Source organism: Homo sapiens, chromosome 20, assembly GCF_000001405.40.
Source record: "Homo sapiens chromosome 20, GRCh38.p14 Primary Assembly".
Classification (NCBI taxonomy): Eukaryota; Metazoa; Chordata; class Mammalia; order Primates; family Hominidae; genus Homo; species Homo sapiens.
In genome coordinates, this window is record NC_000020.11 from 33,915,211 (window position 1) to 33,933,923 (window position 18,713).

The window sequence follows — 18,713 nt, forward strand, 5'->3', positions numbered from 1 at the left end:
AGTATTTATGAGCTCATAACTCCAGAATCTGTCACAATCAGTGCTGCAAAAGTGTATCTGAATGTAATGAAATAATTTGATGAGAAACGTGGCGGGGAGACAGTTGGAATTTTCTCCTGCCTTACAAACCATCCCCAGGGGACAGGTGTATATAAATCAACACCTCCCTTAATTAAGTAAAACATTTTAGGGAAAAAAACAAATTAATTACCACTTCATGGCACCACCCCAGCCGATTACCCAAATGGTTCACATTCCATAAACCTCACTTGAATTCAGAACTAATTATCACTCTTTTGGTTGGTTTATGCTTCCCAATCTACAAAGATCTGTATTAAAAGTGGGTAGTGTGGTATGGCTTTTTCACTTTACTTTCAGGATGATGTAAGCTGTCAAAAGAATCAAGAATTAAGTCTTAAAAAAAAAAAAGAGCTGAAAATGCAGGGAACGTAGAATGTGGAACATTCAGGGTAGGAAATAAACATCACCTTGGGGTGTTGCTGGGATGGTGGGGAGAAGCCTATAGAGTGCAGGATGTGTGGGGTCTTGTCCTGGCTGAGTCCCTGACTTGCTGTGAAATGTTGGGCATGAACTGGACGTCTCTGGTCTCTTATCTGGGGACCATTGTCCATTACCTGCCTGGCCCCCAGGGGGAGCCCTTGCCTCCTGCCATGTGGTCCCAACAGGGAGTGAGAATCCTGACATCTCTGAGCCTCCATTGTCCAGCCTGGCCTGATGTCTTTCCTAATTATCCTTCCTGCTGGCTCTGGCCTCCCCCTTGCCCTGTGGGCCCGATCAGTTCTCATCTTTGATCCTGCAGGGCCCCGTGGCCAGGGTAGCTGCTAATAGCTTCTCCTATTCCCAGTCCGTTCAGCTGCCTTCTGAGTGGTTCACTCCCCCAGTGGAGCAGGCTGCGCAGGCCTGGCCTTGGCTCTTTTGGACTATGTGTGGGAGTGGGAGTCTCAATGGCATCAAGCACAGTTGGCCTTGGTAGCCCCCTCCAGCTGTAAGCCTTGTAAGTCCAGAGTCCAGTGCTGGCTAAGCCAAGGCCTAACCTTCCCTTGTTTCTGCCACTTGCCCCACTTGAGTGGGTGTGTACATTGTAAGCGCTCAGTCAGTTCTCAGTCACTATCTGAATGTTAACGAAAGACATGGATAACCAGAAAGAAACAATCCAACTCTTTAAAACATTTTTAAGGCATGAATTGCACATAGTACAGTGCATAAGTTATACATGTACAACTCAGTGAATCTTTACTTTGTGTACACCTGTGTAATTCCAACCCAGGTCAAGACACAGGTCATTCCACCTCCCTAAAAGTTTCCCTTCCAGTCAACGCTCCTCAAAAATAACCATTATCCTGACTTCTATCACCATAGATTGGTTTTGTCTGTTCTTGCATTTCATATAAATGGAATCATCTGGTATCTAGCTTTCTGTGTCTGGCTTGTTTTGCCCATTCACTGAGTCTATGAGATTCATTCTTATTGCGGATAGCAGTAATTATTGAACTCTTTTTTAGACTGAAGTTTTAAAAAGTGATTACTTGAGCGATTACTGATTGTTGGTATCTAGCTTGACAGTATGTTGTCCTTTTAAAAAATAACCACATACCAAGATATTTGTGGGCCTAATACTGTCATTACCATATGTACAAAAAGAATAATTTAGCTCCTGTGAGCACTCGAGTACATTCAAATTCCAAATGGAGCAGGGATGAATTTGATTAGGAAGGTGTCTGACTACAGCCCTTCCCTCTTGAGAACCTTCCAGGGCGTTTTCTTATTGCATTAACTCCCATTTGCTGAGTGCTGTGGTTTGAATATTTGTCCCCTGCAAAACTCATGTTGAAATTTAATCACCAATGTGGCAATATTGAGAGGTAGGGCCTTTAAGAGGTGATTGGGTCATGAGGGCTCTGCCCTTATGAATGGATTAATCTATTCATGGATTCATAGGTTAGTGGATTACTGGATTATCATGGGAGTAAAACTGGTGGCTTTATAAGAAGAGGAAGAGAGGGATGAGCGTGGTGGCTTGCATCTGTAATCCCAGCACTTTGAGAGGCCGAGGATAGAGGATTGCTTGAGCCCAGGAGTTTGAGACCAGCCTGGGCAGCATAGTGAGACTTCATCTCTAATTTTTTTAAAAAAGAAGAAGAAGAAGAGGAAGAAAGACTTAAGCTAGCACGCTCAGCCCCCTCACCATGTGTGATGCCCTACACTGCCTTGGGACACTGAAGAGAGTCTCCACCAGCCAGAAGCTTCTCAGTAGATGCAAGCCCTTAACCTTGGGCTACTCAGCTTCCACACTTGTAAGAAGTCAATCCCTTTTCTTTGCAAATTACTCTGTTTCAAGTACTCTGTGATAAGCAAGAGAAAACGAACTAAGACATTGGGTTGCTAGAGAGGTTTAGTATCTTTTCTTAGGGTCATTTATTACCTGTGTAACAGGTAGGTCCTGCTGGGACCCTTTCTGAGGACTCCAGGGAGGGCATGAGGAAGTTGGAGCCTGCTCCCTCCAGGTCATGTGTGAGAGGGTGGGAATAATCTGGGTACACCCTGCAGGTTGTCTCCAAAAGGGTCAGTCACCCCCAAACCCAGGGAACATCAGTGCTGGGGCAGGTGGGGGAAGAATCAGGGTCCACTGTCTCTTGGGCTAGACCCAGGCAATGTCTGTCCCCATGGAACCCTCAGCCCTAATCCCTGCCTTCAGCCCTGAGAGCTTGTTAGCAAGAGGCTCTGATCCAGCAGGTCTGGGGTGGATCCAGGAATCTGATATTTTAAAGCTCCCCAAGTGATTCCAGGGAGTGGTCTGGAGCCAGACTGCTTGCATTTGAATTCCAGCTCTGCCTGTTATCACTGTGACCTCAGCCAAGTAACTTTGCTTCTCTTGCCTTCATTTCCTCATTCGTACAATGGGGATTATAATCGTGCTGGAAGAATAAAATGAATCAATGCATTTATGCTTGAAAAGCACTTAGAAGAGTTCCTGGCACAGAGTAAGCACTCAAAAAGAGTTGGCCACCACCGCCATCATCATCATCATCACCATCCACGGCAGCACCAATGCTTTACCAACGCTTTCACTTTACACACTGAAACTGAGAACCACAGAGGGGTGTGGACATATCCAGAGTCACACAGCAAGACACAGGTGGTACAGGGACCAGAAGCCCAGCTCCCTTTCCCCTTGGGATTGTGTTCTCTCACCCACGTGGCTGGCTAGCCATCCTGCCCAATGTCCCAGTCACATGCTGGGGGACAGGGTGGGGAAGATAGTCTACAGAGTGGGGACTTTCTGAAGGATTATATTAGGTTGGTGCAAAAGTAATCACAGTTTTTGTTTTTGCCATTACTTTTAATGGCAAAAACTGTGATTACTTTTGCACCAACCTAATAGAACTGGAAGTGTTGGCATTTGCCTTTCGCCCACCATAGCAATTCTCTATCCTCCTCCTCACCCTTGAAGGGACCAGCCAGGCCCTCTTTCCCACTTTTGGAGTAAGAGGACGGGAATGACTTGAGTCACCTCTAGATTTCTAAAGTTAGGACAAATATCATATCGCCAATGATCAAATACCACCAATTCTACCTCCACAATGTCTTTTGTATCCAAGACCTCTGCCATACCTGAGGCCTGGCCGCCATCATCGCATGCACCTGGGCGGCTGCACCAGCCCCTCCCTGGCCTCCCTGCTGCCAATCTGGCTGCTTCAATTCACTCTACATACCACCCTCCTCACCACCCCTTGGAGGGATTGTTTAAACCCCCACCCCCCCTGCTATGTATGAGTGGATAAAAATGTGATATCTACATACAATGGAACATTATTCAGCCTTTTATTTTATTTTATTTTATTTTATTTTATTTTATTTTATTTGAGGCAGGGTCTTACTCTGACACCCAGGCTGGAGTGCAGTGGCATGATCCCAGCTCATTATAGCCTCAACCTCCTGGGCTGAGGTGGTCCTCCCACCTCAGCCTCCCGAGTAGCTGGGACTACAGGCATGCACCACCAAGCCCAACTAATTTTTTTTTTGTATTTTTTTGTAGAGACAGGGTTTTACCATATTGCTTAGGCTGGTCTCGAACTCCTGGGCTCAAGAAATCCTCCTAAAGTGCTGGAATTATAGGCATGAGCCCTCACACCTGGCCTCCTTTTTTTTTTTTTTTTTTAGTCAGGGTCTCACTCTGGCACCCAGACTGGTGTATAGTGGTGCAATCATAGCTCACTGCAGCCTCGACCTCCTGGGTTCAAATGATCCCCCCACCTCAGCCTCCCAAGTAGCTGGCACCACAGGTATGCACCACCACACCCAGCTAATTTTTTACTTTTTTGTAGAGATGGGGGTCTCACTATGTTGCCTAGGCTTGTCTCAAGCTCGAGACCTCAAATGATCCTTCTGCCTCAGCTTCCCAAAGTGCTAGGATTATAGGTGTGAGCTCATGCCTGACTATTCAGCCTGTAAAAAGAAAGAAATCCTGTCTTATGCCACAAGATGGATGAACCTTGAGGATATCACGCTAAGTGAATAAGCCAGCCACCTACATGAGGGACCTAAAGTAGTCGAACTCCTAGAAACAGAAAACAGAATGGTGGCTGCCCAGGACAGGGGAAACGGGAAGTTGTTCAAGGGGGAGAGAGTTTTAGTTTCGCAAGATGAAAAAGTTGTAGAGATCTGTTGCGCAAAAAGGTAAATACACTTAATGCTACTGAACCATACACTAAAAAATGGTTAAGATGGTAAATTTTATATGTTTTTTTCTTTTCTATTTTTTTTTTTTTTTTGCATTTTTAGCAGAGGTGAGGTTTCACCATGTTGGTCAGGCTGTCTTGAACTCCTGACCTCAGGTGATCCACCTGCCTTGGCCTCCCAAAGTTCTGCGATTACAGATGTAAGCCACCATGCCCAGCCTGTTTTTTTTTTTTTGTTGTTGTTGTTGTTTGTTTGTTTGTTTTTTGAGACAGAGTCTGGCTCTGTCACCCTGGCTGGAGTGCAGTCACAGGATCTTGGCTCACTGCAACCTCCACCTCCCAGGTGCAAGCGATTCTCATGCCTCAGCCTACCCAGTAGCTGGTATTACAGGCGTGCACCACCACGCCCGGCTAATTTTTTATATTTTTGGTATAGATGGGGTTTTGCCATGTTGGCCAGACTGGTCTCAAACTCCTGACCTCAGGTGATCCGCCCGCCTCAGCCTCCCAAAGTTCTGGGATTACAGGTGTGAGCCACTGTGCCCGGCCTGTTATATGTTTTTTACCACAATTAAAAAAAAAAAAAAACACCTCCAAGTCTCCCCATCACCTTTAGGGCGAACCCAGATCCCTTGCCTAGCTTTGGAGACCTTCTGCACTGTTGCCACCCTCCCACCAGGCACTTCAAGCTACCATGTCCTCAGCCCACAGAGCTCTTCAGCTTTTCCCCGACACGGCTCACATTTGCTCACCAGTGAGTTTCTCCCTGACAGCTTTCCATCTGGAATGTTCTTCCCTCAGCTTGTCAACCTTTTGAAATCCTCATTATCCTTCAAGAACCAGCTCAAATATATCCTCCTCTGTGAAACCTTCTTTTAACCCTCTCCTTCAGGAAGAATTAATGCCCAGAGTGTGTGCCCCTGCTTTTTTTTTCTTTTTGAGACAGGGTCTCACTCTGTTGCCCAGGCTGGAGGGCAGTGGTGTGATCACGGCTCACTGCAGCCTCAATCTCCAGGGCTCAAGTGATTCTCCCACCTCAGCTTCCCCAGAAGCTGGGACTACAGGAGTGCACCATCATGCTCGGCACATTTTTGTAAATTTTTTGGTATAGATGGGGCTTTGCCATGGTGTCCAGGCTGGTCTCAAACTCCTGGGCTCAAGAGATCTGTCCACCTCTGTCTCCCAAAGTGCTGGGATTATATGTATGAGCCATTGTGTCTGGCCCCCCGTACCTTTTTTTTTTTTGAGACGGAGTCTCGCTCTGTCTCCAGGCTGCAGTGCAGTGGCGATCTTGGCTCACTGCACCCTCTGACTCCCGAGTTCAAGCGATTCTCCTGCCTCAGCCCCGCAAGTAGCTGGGACTATAGGCGCGCAGCACCACACCCAGCTAATTTTTGTATTTTTAGTAGAGACAGGGTTTCACCATGTTGGCCATGATGGTCTCGATCTCTTGACCTCATGATCTAGCCACCACGGCCTTCCAAAGTGCTGGTATTATAGGCGTGAGCCACTGCGCCCAGCCCCTATAACTGTTCACATCACCACCACCACCACCACCACTGCCTCAGCTACCATTGAATGGGGGCTTTCTACACACTGAGTACCAGGCCAAACAAGCTGTATGCATCAGTGGCTCAGTTAATCTTCATGAAAACCCACACCGTCCTCATTTTACAGACGAGAAAACTGAGACTCAGATAGGGAATGTATCATGCCCAAGATCACACAGCTAGTAAGTTGTGGCACTGAGACTTAAATCTTCCTAATTCCAGAGAAAAGCATCTGACAACTCAGTTCTGCTCCCCCACACACCTGAGTAATTGCCTTGTCCGTATAATTATTTGTTTTTCTGCCTGCCCAATTAGGGGAGGGCTGTGCCTTAACCCTTCTGGCTCTGATGCCCCATGCCTGGCCCAGGGCCTGGCACAAAGCAGATGCTCATTTTGTGGGAGTTGTTTTGGACACCTTGGAGTAAATCAGTGCCAGTGCTAGCTCCTCTAATTTCACCACTTCTATTAACCCTCCAGGAATTGGCAGGTTGGTGATCACAAAAGAAACATTCCCCAGCCGATCAATAAATAATAATGTTGGAGAATTTAAAATAAGAATCTGGATTATTAAAGTTACAAATCTTTGGTCTTTATACCTTTAATAAAACATGCGTCTATTAATAATGAATACTGGTTCTGGCCTGCTTAGGCTGAAAGGGAGAAAAAATGACCAGTGAAAAGATGCTAATATTTTTTCTCCTTACTTGTTTTGGCTGCCAAGATGCTGCATCCCTGACAAATGGCTCATCATTTAAAAAGGTTTAAAAAGTTTAACTGCACGAAAGGGAAATTGAAGATGGGTTGTTCAGCCTTGTGGGCCCTCAGTGAGGAGAGATTGTTTCTTCTTGAGACATTCTCTCTCTGGTTTTGGTGGGCCCACCTTCTGCTGGTCCTTCTCCTTGACCTCTGGTTGTCTTTCTCAGGCTCCTCATTTTTTGGTCAAACTCTATCCTGGGTTCCCTCCCCTTCCCTCCCTTTCTCTCCCTTCCCCTCCCCTTCCCTTTCCACTTAACTCCCTTACCCTGAGTGACCTCATCCACTTCTGTGACCACCAGTCATCATCTTTTGCACGAAGGAAGTCACTCAGTAGGAGAGATGATCAGAGCGGTAAACAGGGGGTCAGACCATTTGGGGCCTTATAGGCCAGGGTGAACTTTGGCTTTAACTCCAAGAATCCTGGTGCCACTGGAGGCACAGAGGATGGCATGAAACAAATCTCTTTGGAGGCTGTCATTAAAATAGACTAAAGGGTGACAAGGGCAGAATTAGGAAAACCAGTTAGGAGAATATTGCCGTAATCCAGGCAAGAGGTGATGGTAGTTTGGAATAGAGTGGAAGCAGTGAGGAGCTGAGGTTGGATACAGGATATATTTTATTTTTTTAAATTTTAATAGAGACAGAATCTCACTCTGTCACTCAGGCTGGAGTGCAGTGGCACGATCCTGGCTCACTGCAGCCTTGAACTCCTGGGCTCAAGTGATCCTCCCACCTCAGCCTCCCCAGTAGTTGGGACTACAAGTATGTGCCACCGTCCCCAGCTCCAGGATATATTTTAAAGGTAGAGGTGATAGGATTTGCTGAGGGATTGGAGTGGGGTGTGAAAAAAAAAAGGGAGAGGGTTGTCTCCAGGGTTTTTGGTCTGAGCAACTAAAAGATGAGTGTTTTCATTTTCTGAGATGAGGAGGCCTGTGGGTAGAGAAGCTTTGATGATAAGGAGTTGAGTCTTGGATGTGTGTTGTCTGAGATACCTGTTGGATATCTAAGAAGAGACATCAGATTGACAATTGGACATATGGGTCTAGAGTTCAGGAGAAAGGTCCAGGTTAGAGGTATAAATTTAGGCATCATGATCATAGATGTGGTATTTAAAGTCATGAAGCTAGATGAGATTGCCAGTGGAGGTGTATGGCAGAGTGTGAAAAAGGACTGGACTCATGACTTTCCTATGTTTTAAGGTTGGAGAGATGAGGAAGAATCAACAAAGAAGAATGTGAAGAGGCCAGTGAGCTAGGAGTAAAACTAAGAAAGTAAAGGATCCTAGAAGTCAAACGAAGAAAGAGTTTCAAGAGGGGGAATGTCATTATGTATGTCAAGTACGGAAAATGGGTTAAATAAGGTAAGGACTGAGGACTGACCATTGGATCTAGCAACATGGAGGTCATTGGTGATCTTGATGAGGGCATTTAACCTCACTTTGGGCCACTTGATGGTGAAGGTAAAAAGGAAAGCCAGTAGATTCCATAACTCTCATTATTGTCCAGAAGGAAATCTACCAGTTGTTCAAGACACCCCAACTTGTCCTGGGAGCTTGTCATTTGAGTTCTTCAAAGGAGGCATTGAATAATACAGCTGACTCTTGCACAACACAGGTTTGAACTGCATGGGCCCTCTTATATGTGGATTTTTTTTCTACCAAATGCAGATTGAAAATACAATATTCACAGGATGCCAAGTATGCATATATGCAGGGCTGACTTTTCCTATGCGGGTTCCTCAGGGTTGACTTCAGGACATGAGTTTGTGTGGATTTTGGTGTGCGCAAGGGAGGGAAAGTATCCTGGAACCAATTTCCCACATCTACTGAGGGATGACTGCATAATGAATATTGTCAGCAAGAGTTTTATAGCAGAGCCATAGGTCAACGTTTTACTCCCAGGATATAAGCGGTGCTGTGGGAAGCATGGAGTGGGAGAGATTGTCATGTTGAGTATTTATCACTCCACTGATGCATGGAGTGTTCCATCCAGTTTGAGACTGGGCTCTGCCTCCTGGAGAAGCGACAGCAGCCAGGTGCCACTCTCATGGAGACCAAGAGTTAGTGGCCTATGTGGAGGGCCACAAGGCCGCCCTGTTACACAACTCCAGGCAACACATCTACATCATGGTCTATGTGAAATGAGCTTCCTGGTGTTGTGCAGTGCACAAACTGCGCTGCTGTACGAAACAGGCCTGATGTGACAAGAGGCAGCTAAGGGTATCCCCAGAACTCCCAGAGGGATACTGGGACACTGTTGTCTGAAGAAGGGAAAGTAAGTGATGGAAGGCAAAACAAAAGATGCTCACATCCTAACACGAAGGACAAATTCCAGATGGAAATAAGGCACATGCTCTCTTTATTCTTTAATCCCCCAAACTTCAAAAGGAATTTTATTGTTTTCTTCCTGCCATCAAATCTGTGACTTGTTTTAGGGGAAGGACAAGGTACGTGTGTGTGTGCGCGTGCATGTGTGATGGGGTGCGGGGTTATATAGCCTCTACCCTTCTCTCCTTTCTCTCCAAAATTCCTAACTGGGAGGATTTTTCTAGTCATTGGAGGAAAGGTGTTTGGGAATATATTAATTAGAGCAAGCCTAAGCCGCTGTAATAAAGAGGTCACAAAATACAGTGGCTTGAAGAAAAGAGAAGTTTATCCCTCTCATGTAACAGCCTCAAGGTTAAGTAGTGCAGGGTGGGGAGATGGCTCTGTTCCACATGATCACTCAGGTATCAAAGATCCTTTCATCTTGTTTCTCTGTATCCTTCATGGTGTTATCTTCATCCCCATTGTCAGAACTTGGTCACCGCACATCTATGTTCAGGGAAGGAGAAAGAATGTTAGGAAAAAGGTGCCCCATCCCTTCTGTTCATATGCCATTGGTGACAACTTAACCATGTGGCCACACTGGCCACAAAGAAGCCTGGGATGTGTTGTTGCTAGCTGGGGAATCAGCATTTGTTCAGTTTAAGCTCTATTACTGTGGAAAAAACTTAGAATGGGTTAAAGTAAGTAACTGGCAAAAACTGGTTCTTTTTGCTCTCATCTCTTTTCTAAGCATTTTTATCTCTCAAATTTAGAAATGGAAAATTTGGGCCAGGTGCAGTGATTCACGCCTGTAATCCTAGCACTTTGGAAGGCCGAGGCAGGAGGATTGCTTGAGGCCAGGAGTTTGAGACCAGCCTGGGCAACAAAGTGAGACCCCATCTCTCCAAAATAACCTTAAAAAATTAGCCAGGCTTGGTGGCACATACCTGTGGTCCCAACTATTCAGAAGGCTGAGGCGAGAGAATCACTTGAGCACAGGAGTTTGAGGTCGTAGTGAGCTATCATTGCACCACTGTACTCCAGCCTGGATGACAGAGTGGGAACCTGTCTCTAAGAAGAAAAGAAAGGAAAGAAAGAGACAGCGAGAAAGCAAGGAAGGAAGGAAGGAAGGGAGGGAGGGAGGGAAAGGGAAAGGGAAAGGAAAGGAAAAAGGAAAGAAAGATACTGAAAATTTGAAGATTCTTTCCGTGGGTCCCTTTCTGACCATTTGACCTAGGTACATGTGCCAGCCCTGTGTATCCATTCCAGTCATAATGTGGAGGGTCCTGGGGTTAAAAGGTATATGAAAAAGAGTCTTATCAGTCAAGCTCGCATGTCAACCCACAATAATGACCGTAACAATGAATAACAACAATTATAATTATTAACATGTTTAGTTTACACATAGATGTATCACTTATAATGCTCTGTAATTTATTTTTAGTAATATGTACATGACTTTTCCATAAGTCAAAAGTCTTGAAGGACTGACTTTCTAGGGAGAAGAAGTGACTCACTTTGCCTGGAGAGCTGGGAAAGAGGAGCCACTGAGATGGGCTTTGAGAGGATGACTAGGAATCCCCAGAGAGAAAAAAGAGAGCAAATGGAATTTTACGAATGAGAAATGTTAATAGCATGTATGAACTCTAGCATGTACTTTCAGTAAAACAAAATTTTTCTTTTTTTCTGTTTTTATGACTTTGTTTCTCTTCCTCTCTCTCTCTCTCTTACACCCATTAATGGACACACCATGTAACTGTTAGATTTCTTGTTTGCAAGTGACAGAAAACTCACCTCAAAAATATCTTAAATCAACAAAGGGAATTTATTGGCTCATGCAATTGCAAAGTTCAAGGGTAAATTTAAGATGTGGCTAAACTCAGAGGCCCAGACAATAGTACCATGACCTGGTCTTTCTCCACCATCTGGCTCGGCCTTGCTGCATGCCAGATGAGCATTCACACCCACATGGTGCCAGGATGGCTGCCAGCTACGTGGGGTCTAAGTCGTCTTCATCTCAATGGAAATGAATGGAGAGCCTCTCTCTCCATTGTGCCCCATTGGCTCTGATTAGGTCAGGTGATCATCCTTGCGATGCTCTCACGGGCTACAACTGAGACACGTGCCACAACTGAGACACGTGCCAACCCCTACCAGCAGGGGTAGAGTCAACTCTGTCTAAAGCTAGGGATTGAGAACTGGGAGAGAGTGATCTGCTGAAGGAAGAATTTGTTACTGAAGAAGGGTGAGGCCAAGTGCATGGCTCATGCCTGTAATCTCAGTACTTTGGGAGGCTGAGCAGAAGGATCACTTGAGGCCAGGAATTCAAGACCAGGCTGGGCAACAAAGGGAGACCCTGTCTCTACAAAAAAATTAAAAATTAGCTGGGCATAGTGGTGTGTGCCTGTAGTCCCAGCTACTAGGGAGGCTGAGGTGGGAGGATTGCTTGAGCCCAGGAGGTTGAGGCTGCAGTGAGCTGATTGTGCCACTACACTCCAGCCTGGCAACAGAGCAAGATCCTATCTCAAAAAAAGTAAAAAAAAAAGGCCGGGCACGGTGGCTCACACCTGTAATCCCAGCACTTTGAGAGGCCGAGGCGGGTGGATCACCTGAGGTCAGGAGTTCAAGACCTGCCTGACCAACATGGTGAAACCCCATCTCTACTAAAAATACAAAAATTAGCTGGGCATGGTGGCAGGCGCCTGTAATCCCAGTTACTCGGGAGGCTGAGGCAGAAGAATCACTTGAACCTGGGACGCGGAGGTTGCAGTAAGCTGAGATCGTGCCACTGCACTCCAGCCTGGGCGACAGAGCAAGACTTCGTCTCAAAAAAAAAAAAAAAAAAAAGTAAAAAGAAGAAAGGTGAATGGCCCTTTGGCCACAAAAGCCGTTTCCATCTTCCATGGAGTGGGATGCTGAGGATCTCACTGAGATACTGGATTCCTACCTATTGTGGGGAAACTTCAGTCTTAAAGACTGAATGGCCCTCAGAGCAGAGGAACCTGCAGGTGAATTGAGCTCTGAAGCACAACAAAGTGGAAGGCTGGGAAATGCGGCTGGTCCAGGGCTTAGCAGTCATCCAGCCTTTCCACTGGACAGATGAGGAAACAGATCATAGAGGGTGAGGGACTTGTCTGAGCAAGTTGAGGCAGAGCGGGGACCCAAACCCCAGTGATGTGAAAGCCAGAGCCAGGCTCTGTCTGTGGGTCTGGCAGCTGCCACATTTATTAGCTCCCTGATATCTCCTTGTTTCCTTGTATATTTTTACAAGGTTGTTAATTACCAGCCATAAAGCTCGGCAAACATTCTGATAGGCTTTAAAGGCTCATGAAAACAGCATTACATTTTAAGGCATGGTTTCCTTATTAATCTAATTAACTGTCAGCCTCACATCCTGCTGGTTTCCAGATGAAGCGAGCTGTGCCTTTCAGCTTCCGATTCAGCCCCAGTGGACAAGGCTTGGGGATGTCATCGCCACAATCTCTGAGCCAGGAAAGCAGCTCACACAGGCCCAAGGTGTGGGTTGCTGAAGCAGTGTCTAGATGCTCAGCATCGTGCAGATTTATATCTCAGGATGATCCATCTCTAGAACAAAGACATGATGGCTTGGAAATAGCCCAGATTACAGCAAGTACATGGATGCCTCAGCTCAGGACCCTCCCAGGCCATGGTGTAGACACTTTTGGGTGACCTTCCCCAGTGAGGCTCCCTTTCCAGAGCTCTGTCCTCATTTATAACCCTGACCCTGGCACCCTGCTCTCCCACAGCAGCTGTTTGGACTGAGATGGACACCTGACCCAAAGAAGGCTCAGTCACCTCTGACCTGTAGCCTGGCTTGAAAGAGGGGCTGGGCCAACCAGAGGCAGGTCTGGAGATAGAGAACTAGAACTGGGAAAGAGTGTCTTCATTTATGAGGGCCGCCGTCACAACATACCACAGACTGGGTGGCTTAAACAATAGAAATGGATTTCTCACGGTTCTGGACACTAGAAGTGTGAGATCACAGTGCCAGCAAGGTTGGCTTCTCTCTCCCTTTCTCTCTCTCTCTCTTTTTTTTTTTTTTAGGTAGGGTCTTGCTCTGTCACCCCTCAACCTTGTCGGGCTCAAGCGATCCTCCCACTTCAGCTTCCTAAGTAGCTGGGGCTGCAGGCATTGCCACCATGCCCAGCTAATGTTTTTCTTTTTTTTATTTTTCTTTTTTTGAGACTGAGTCTCGCTCTGTCGTCCAGGCTAGAGTGCAGTAGAACTATCTCGGCTCAGTACAACCTCCACCTCCTGGGTTCAAGCGATTCTCCTTCTTCAGCCTCCTGAGTAGCTGGGATTACAAGCACCCACCACCATGCCCGGCTAGTTTTTTTTTTTTTTTTTTTTTTTGTATTTTTAGTAGAGACGGGGGTTTCACCATATTCACCAGGCTGGTCTGGAACTCCTGACCTCAAGTGATCCGCCCGCCTTGGCCTCCCAAAATGCTGGAATTACAGGCATGAGCCACTGCGCCCAGCGCCAGCTAATTTTTTTATTTTTGTAGAGACAGAGGTCTCCCTGTTTTGCCCGGGCTGGTCTCAAACTGCTGGGCTCAAGTGATCCTCTCGCCTCGGCCTCCCAAAATGCTGGGATAACAGGCGTGAGCCACTGTGCCCAGGGCTGGCCTCTCTTGGGGCCTCCCTCCTTGGCTTGCAAATGGCCACGTTCTCACTGCGTCCTCATGGGGTCTTTCCTCTGGGTGCACATCCCTGGTGTCTCTCTTGTGTGTCCAAATTTTCTCTTCTCCCAAGGAGAGTAAGCTCTGATTATGGCTGACCCTAATGGCCTCATTTTACTCAATCCCCTCTTTTTAAAAAAATTTTTTTTTAAATTTGAGACGGAGTTTCACTCTCGTTGCCCAGGCTGGAGTGCAGTGGTGCGATCTCAGCTCACTGACTGCAACCTCCGCCTCCCAGGTTCAAGCGATTCTCCTGCCTCTGCTTCCTGAGTGGCTGGGATTACAGGTGCACGCCACCATGCCTGGCTAATACAATCCCCTCTTTAAAGGTTCTATCTTTAGATAGAAGACAATATTTAAAATATTGTCTTCAGATACGGAGGTACTGGGGATTAAGGCTTCAATATATGAATTTTAGGGGACACAATTCAGCCCATAACAAAGGGCTTGAGATGAAAATTCACACAGCATCTGGGCTGGGGCAAGGGAGCCACCATGGCTGGTGCCCTGCCTATGTCTGCAAGACCCTCAGCTCTACCCCCTGAAGGTATAATCGCAAACACCTGCCACCTCCCACCTGAGGGCTTTTATCTGGCTGCTTTCTGCTGAGGGCACGTCCACCTGCATGCAGGGAAAGCCTACTAGAGGGTTAATGGCCAGAAGCAGCCCTCCACCAATGACTGATGGGATACAGACCCAGCTCCCTTGCCTGGGGTGGGGCAACTCTGCTTCCATGATCTACACTGTCTCCAGCATCCCCGGGCAGGAATGGGCTCCCATTGCCCACGGGGTAACTGGCTTGATCATGTGCCTTTCTTTTCTCTGTCTCACTTTGCCACTCCCCTACTGGTACTTCCTGGGATCACCTCCCAAGTAAATGACTTGCCCTTGAACCTCTGTCTCAAGGTCAGCTTCTGGGGGAACCCAAACAGTTAGGTGGCATGTGGACATGATGTGGAGATACGGGCAGAGGAAGCTGGCGTGGGAGGGGAGAGAGGGAAACGTGGATTCCAAGAGAGGGAAAGGGTTTCTGGGTTCCTGAGTCTCTAGTTCTGGTACCTATGAGCACTGCCCTGTGCCTCTCCCCCGTGGCTCTCCAAGTAGTTACATAAGTGGGGTGTTAGGTGTTCTGGAACCTAAGCTAGTTTAGCCTCTTCCCTATCTAGATGCAGCAAATTCTCTTGGACTCTTCCAGATTCTTCCCTCAAATATGGAATTATCAGGCAAGTTGATGCCTCTTGCTCTGGGGGAAAGGTAGCCCCAAGACATTCTGTGGCTATGTAAATATGCCCCCCAAAATAAATCCATGGTTTGTAGAGTGAAAGTTGAGCAAATCTGCATACAGGCCAGGAGCTACCCAGAAGGTCAGGAATCGAGGCCACATGCCCTTTTCTTTTGAGGTAAAACATGATCACAACCTTTCTGGTTAATTGTGATGAGCCTGACTGAGGCCCCTGGAGGAAAAAAAGATGTAAAGACCCACAGGGAAAAGAACCGTACCTGTGGGAGTCTGCACTAATGACTAGTGTTAAATACCAACTTCTTCCGTAGCTGCTTCTGGTTATGACTTCAAGTATGTTTTCTCATTCTCAGCATAATTGAAAGGCGTCAAATGATTAACACCAGAGGTTAAGATCTAGAACAATTTTGTCCAACCTGTGGGCTGCAAGCACCCCAGGGCAGCTTTGAATGTGGCCCAACTTTCTTAAGATGTTATGAGACTTTTTTTGTGATGTATAAATTATATAAGCTCTTCAGCTACCGTTAGTGTATTTTACATGTGGCCCAAGACTATTCTTCTTCCAATGTGGCCCAGGGAAGCCAAAAGATTGGGCACCCCTGATCTAGAAGTTAGGAGTCTTTCAGGAAGCTAAGAATAACTTACAGACACCTGATTCTATAACTCTATGAAACGTCTTAGATTCTTTGGTCTTAAAATAGTATTGGCCCAGGCGCGGTGGCTCATGCCTGTAATCCCAGCACTTTGGGAGGGTGAGGCAGGTAGATCACCTGAGGTGAGGAGTTTGAGAGCAGCCTGACCAACATGGCGAAACCCCGTCTCTAGTAAAAATACAAAAACTAGCCAGGCTTGGGGGCAGGTGCCTGTAATCCCAGTTACTCGGGAGGCTGAGGCACGAGAATCACTTGAACCCGGGAGGCAGAGGTTACAATGAGCTGAGATCGTGCCACTGCACTCCAGCCTGGGTGACAGAGCAAGACTGCCTCAAAAAAAAAAAAAAAAAAAAAAAAAAAAAAGTGGAGTACGATCATAATCTGTGTAGGCAGGAGAGAGGAAGCAATGGAGCCAGCAGGGTCTCGAGTCAGAGAGGAGTGGGAGTGGTTGGGTTGGCTGGCTTCAAGACTAGAGGGGTTCTTAATAATATAGGGTGCTATAGTCACAAGTGGGGGTGCATCCCAGGTGTTAGCAGGGTCCAACCCTTGGGTCTAGGGGTAGCATGATATTTATGACAATAATGATGGTGAACATGATAATGGGCATGACCACTCCTGTTTACAGGTGAGAAAACTTTACCCCTCTCAGCAGGACTGTCAGGTCCAAGGAGTAAAATTGGACCCTAAAAAATAGGATTCAACAGTCCTATTTGGGTCAGGGTGAACTCTTTGGCACCAAGGCTCTGGACACTTTGAGGGTGAAGCCAGGTGGGGTGGGGCTGGTTCTGGGGAAGGGCTGGTTCTGGGGAAGGGCTGGTTCTGGGGAAGGGCTGGTTCTGGGGAAGGGCTGGTTCTGGTGGCCTGAGATGCAGCAGGACTGAACAGGACTGTCCTTCCAGTAACCTCCATCCTTCCTCATCGAGCATGTCCCAACCCCAAACCTGTTTGGCACTTGCCTGATGGATTTAAATTGATGCCCTCAAAACTGCAAAACTAGGGCCAGTTCTCCCCCCTTTCTGTCCACGCACCTTCAAGAATTTAATGAGCTTGTCTAGGTTAAAATGTGTTATTCAAGCCCAATGTTTGTGGTATCACTGAGGAAGCAAATCCCAAACTAATAGAAGTTGCATGTAATGTAAAATAGCAATTAATCTCCATCATGAAGGGTAAGAAAAATTAACAAACCGCTGTTCAAATATTTATTAGGAGGAGAGACTGGACAGATATTCTTAGTCTATTACTGGGGGCAATTGAAATACAAGGAAACTGGGCTGGGCGCGGTGGCTCACGCCTATAGTCCTAGCACTTTGGGAGGCCGAGGCGGGTGGATTACCTGAGGTTGGGAGTTTAACACCAGCCTGACCAACATGGAGAAACCCCATCTCTACTAAAAATTCAAAATCAGCTGGGTGTGGTGGTGCATGCCTATAATCCCAGCTACTTTGGGAGGCTGAGGCAGGAGAATCGCTTGAACTCGGGAGGCAGAGGTTATGGTGAGCCGAGATCCTGCCATTGCACCCAAGCCTGGACAACAAGAGCAAAACTCTGTCTCAAAAAAAAAAAAAAAAACCAAGGAAACTGTCTGGTCCGTAACTGGGCATGGGGATGGGGTGGGCTTAGAAATGATTCCAGTAGGTGAGGGGTTCAGTGCCAGCCCAGGTGGGTGGGGAGGGGTGAGACCTGTGGTCTCTTTGACATATTAGAGTGGTGGGCAACTTCTGGATGCTTCTTCTCACCTCTTCTTGCTGAAATCAGGTTATGGTTGTTCAGCCTGACATGATGGCCATCTTCGACACAGGCAGGAGGATTCTGGCCCCTGCTCCAGCCAGAGGTTTAGCCCTGAACCCCAGCCTTGACCCCTCCTACCGTTGTCCTGCCTCTATGTTCCCTTCATCTACCTCCTCTTTTTGATGGCCTTGGCAATTCTTTTTTGTTTTTTTTTGAGATTGGAGTCTCATTCTGTAGCCCAGGCTGGAGTGCAGTGGTGCAACCTTGGCTCACTGCAACCTCGGCTCACTGCAACCTCCACCTCCCGGGTTCAAGTGATTCTCCTGCATCAGCTAGAGAATCGAGTAGCTGGGATTACAGGCACCCACCACCACGCCCAGCTAATTTTTTTTTTTTTTTTTTTTTTGTATTTATAGTAGAGATGGGGTTTCACCGTGTTGGCCAGGCTTGTCTCAAACTCCTGACTTCAAGTGATCCGCCCACCTCGGCCTCCCAAAGTGCTAGGATTACAGTTGTTAGCCACTGCAATTGGCCTAGGCAATTCTTAACAACTCTGGATTTTTCCCTACAAATGCTGAGCCACTCCCACAGGATTACCAACCACCTGTCCTCCTCCTACCAATACCCCACCTAAGACCTAGATAAAGGTGATGATAAAGGCTGGCACCTGGAAAACAAGGGTTCAGGCTTCCTTTCCCAGCTGAGGGAGATGCCTCCAAAGATGGCCGCCAACAACGCCTCCTGTCCCTGGACACGCAGGCTCCTGTCAAGAGGTGGCACTATTTCTCCTCCCTAGAATTTGGGCTGGCCTTGTGACCTGCTTTCACTTGTGCCGGTTCCATGCCTGGCTTGTAAGAGGCCTAGCAGCTTCTGTTCTCTTGGAGCCCTGAGCCACTGAGAAAGAAATCCAACTAACCTTCTGGAGACAGGCCCAGCCAGGGCCCAGCCGGTCCAACTACTCCTTGACAACCAAGGCTGCCACAAAGACAGGATAGAGGAAGGAACACAGAGGCAGGGCAATGGGAGGAGCCATTTAAGGCTGAGGTTCAGGGATGAGCCCCTGGATAGGGAAGGGGCCA

The 18,713-nt window shown here is 47.1% G+C and overlaps 2 annotated features.

Annotated features, from left to right (window-relative positions):
* Positions 4,888-5,087: a silencer, noted in NCBI's record as "fragment chr20:32507904-32508103 (GRCh37/hg19 assembly coordinates)". NCBI's record gives its function as "represses an EF-1alpha promoter that drives an FKBP-Casp9 reporter gene in an ReSE screen in K562 erythroleukemia cells {active_cell/tissue: K562}" and the evidence as "EXISTENCE:reporter gene assay evidence [ECO:0000049][PMID:32094911]".
* Positions 17,988-18,488: an enhancer, noted in NCBI's record as "H3K27ac hESC enhancer chr20:32521004-32521504 (GRCh37/hg19 assembly coordinates)". NCBI's record gives its function as "activates a minimal SCP1, AML or CMV promoter by ChIP-STARR-seq in primed H9 embryonic stem cells {active_cell/tissue: H9 hESC(primed)}" and the evidence as "EXISTENCE:reporter gene assay evidence [ECO:0000049][PMID:30033119]".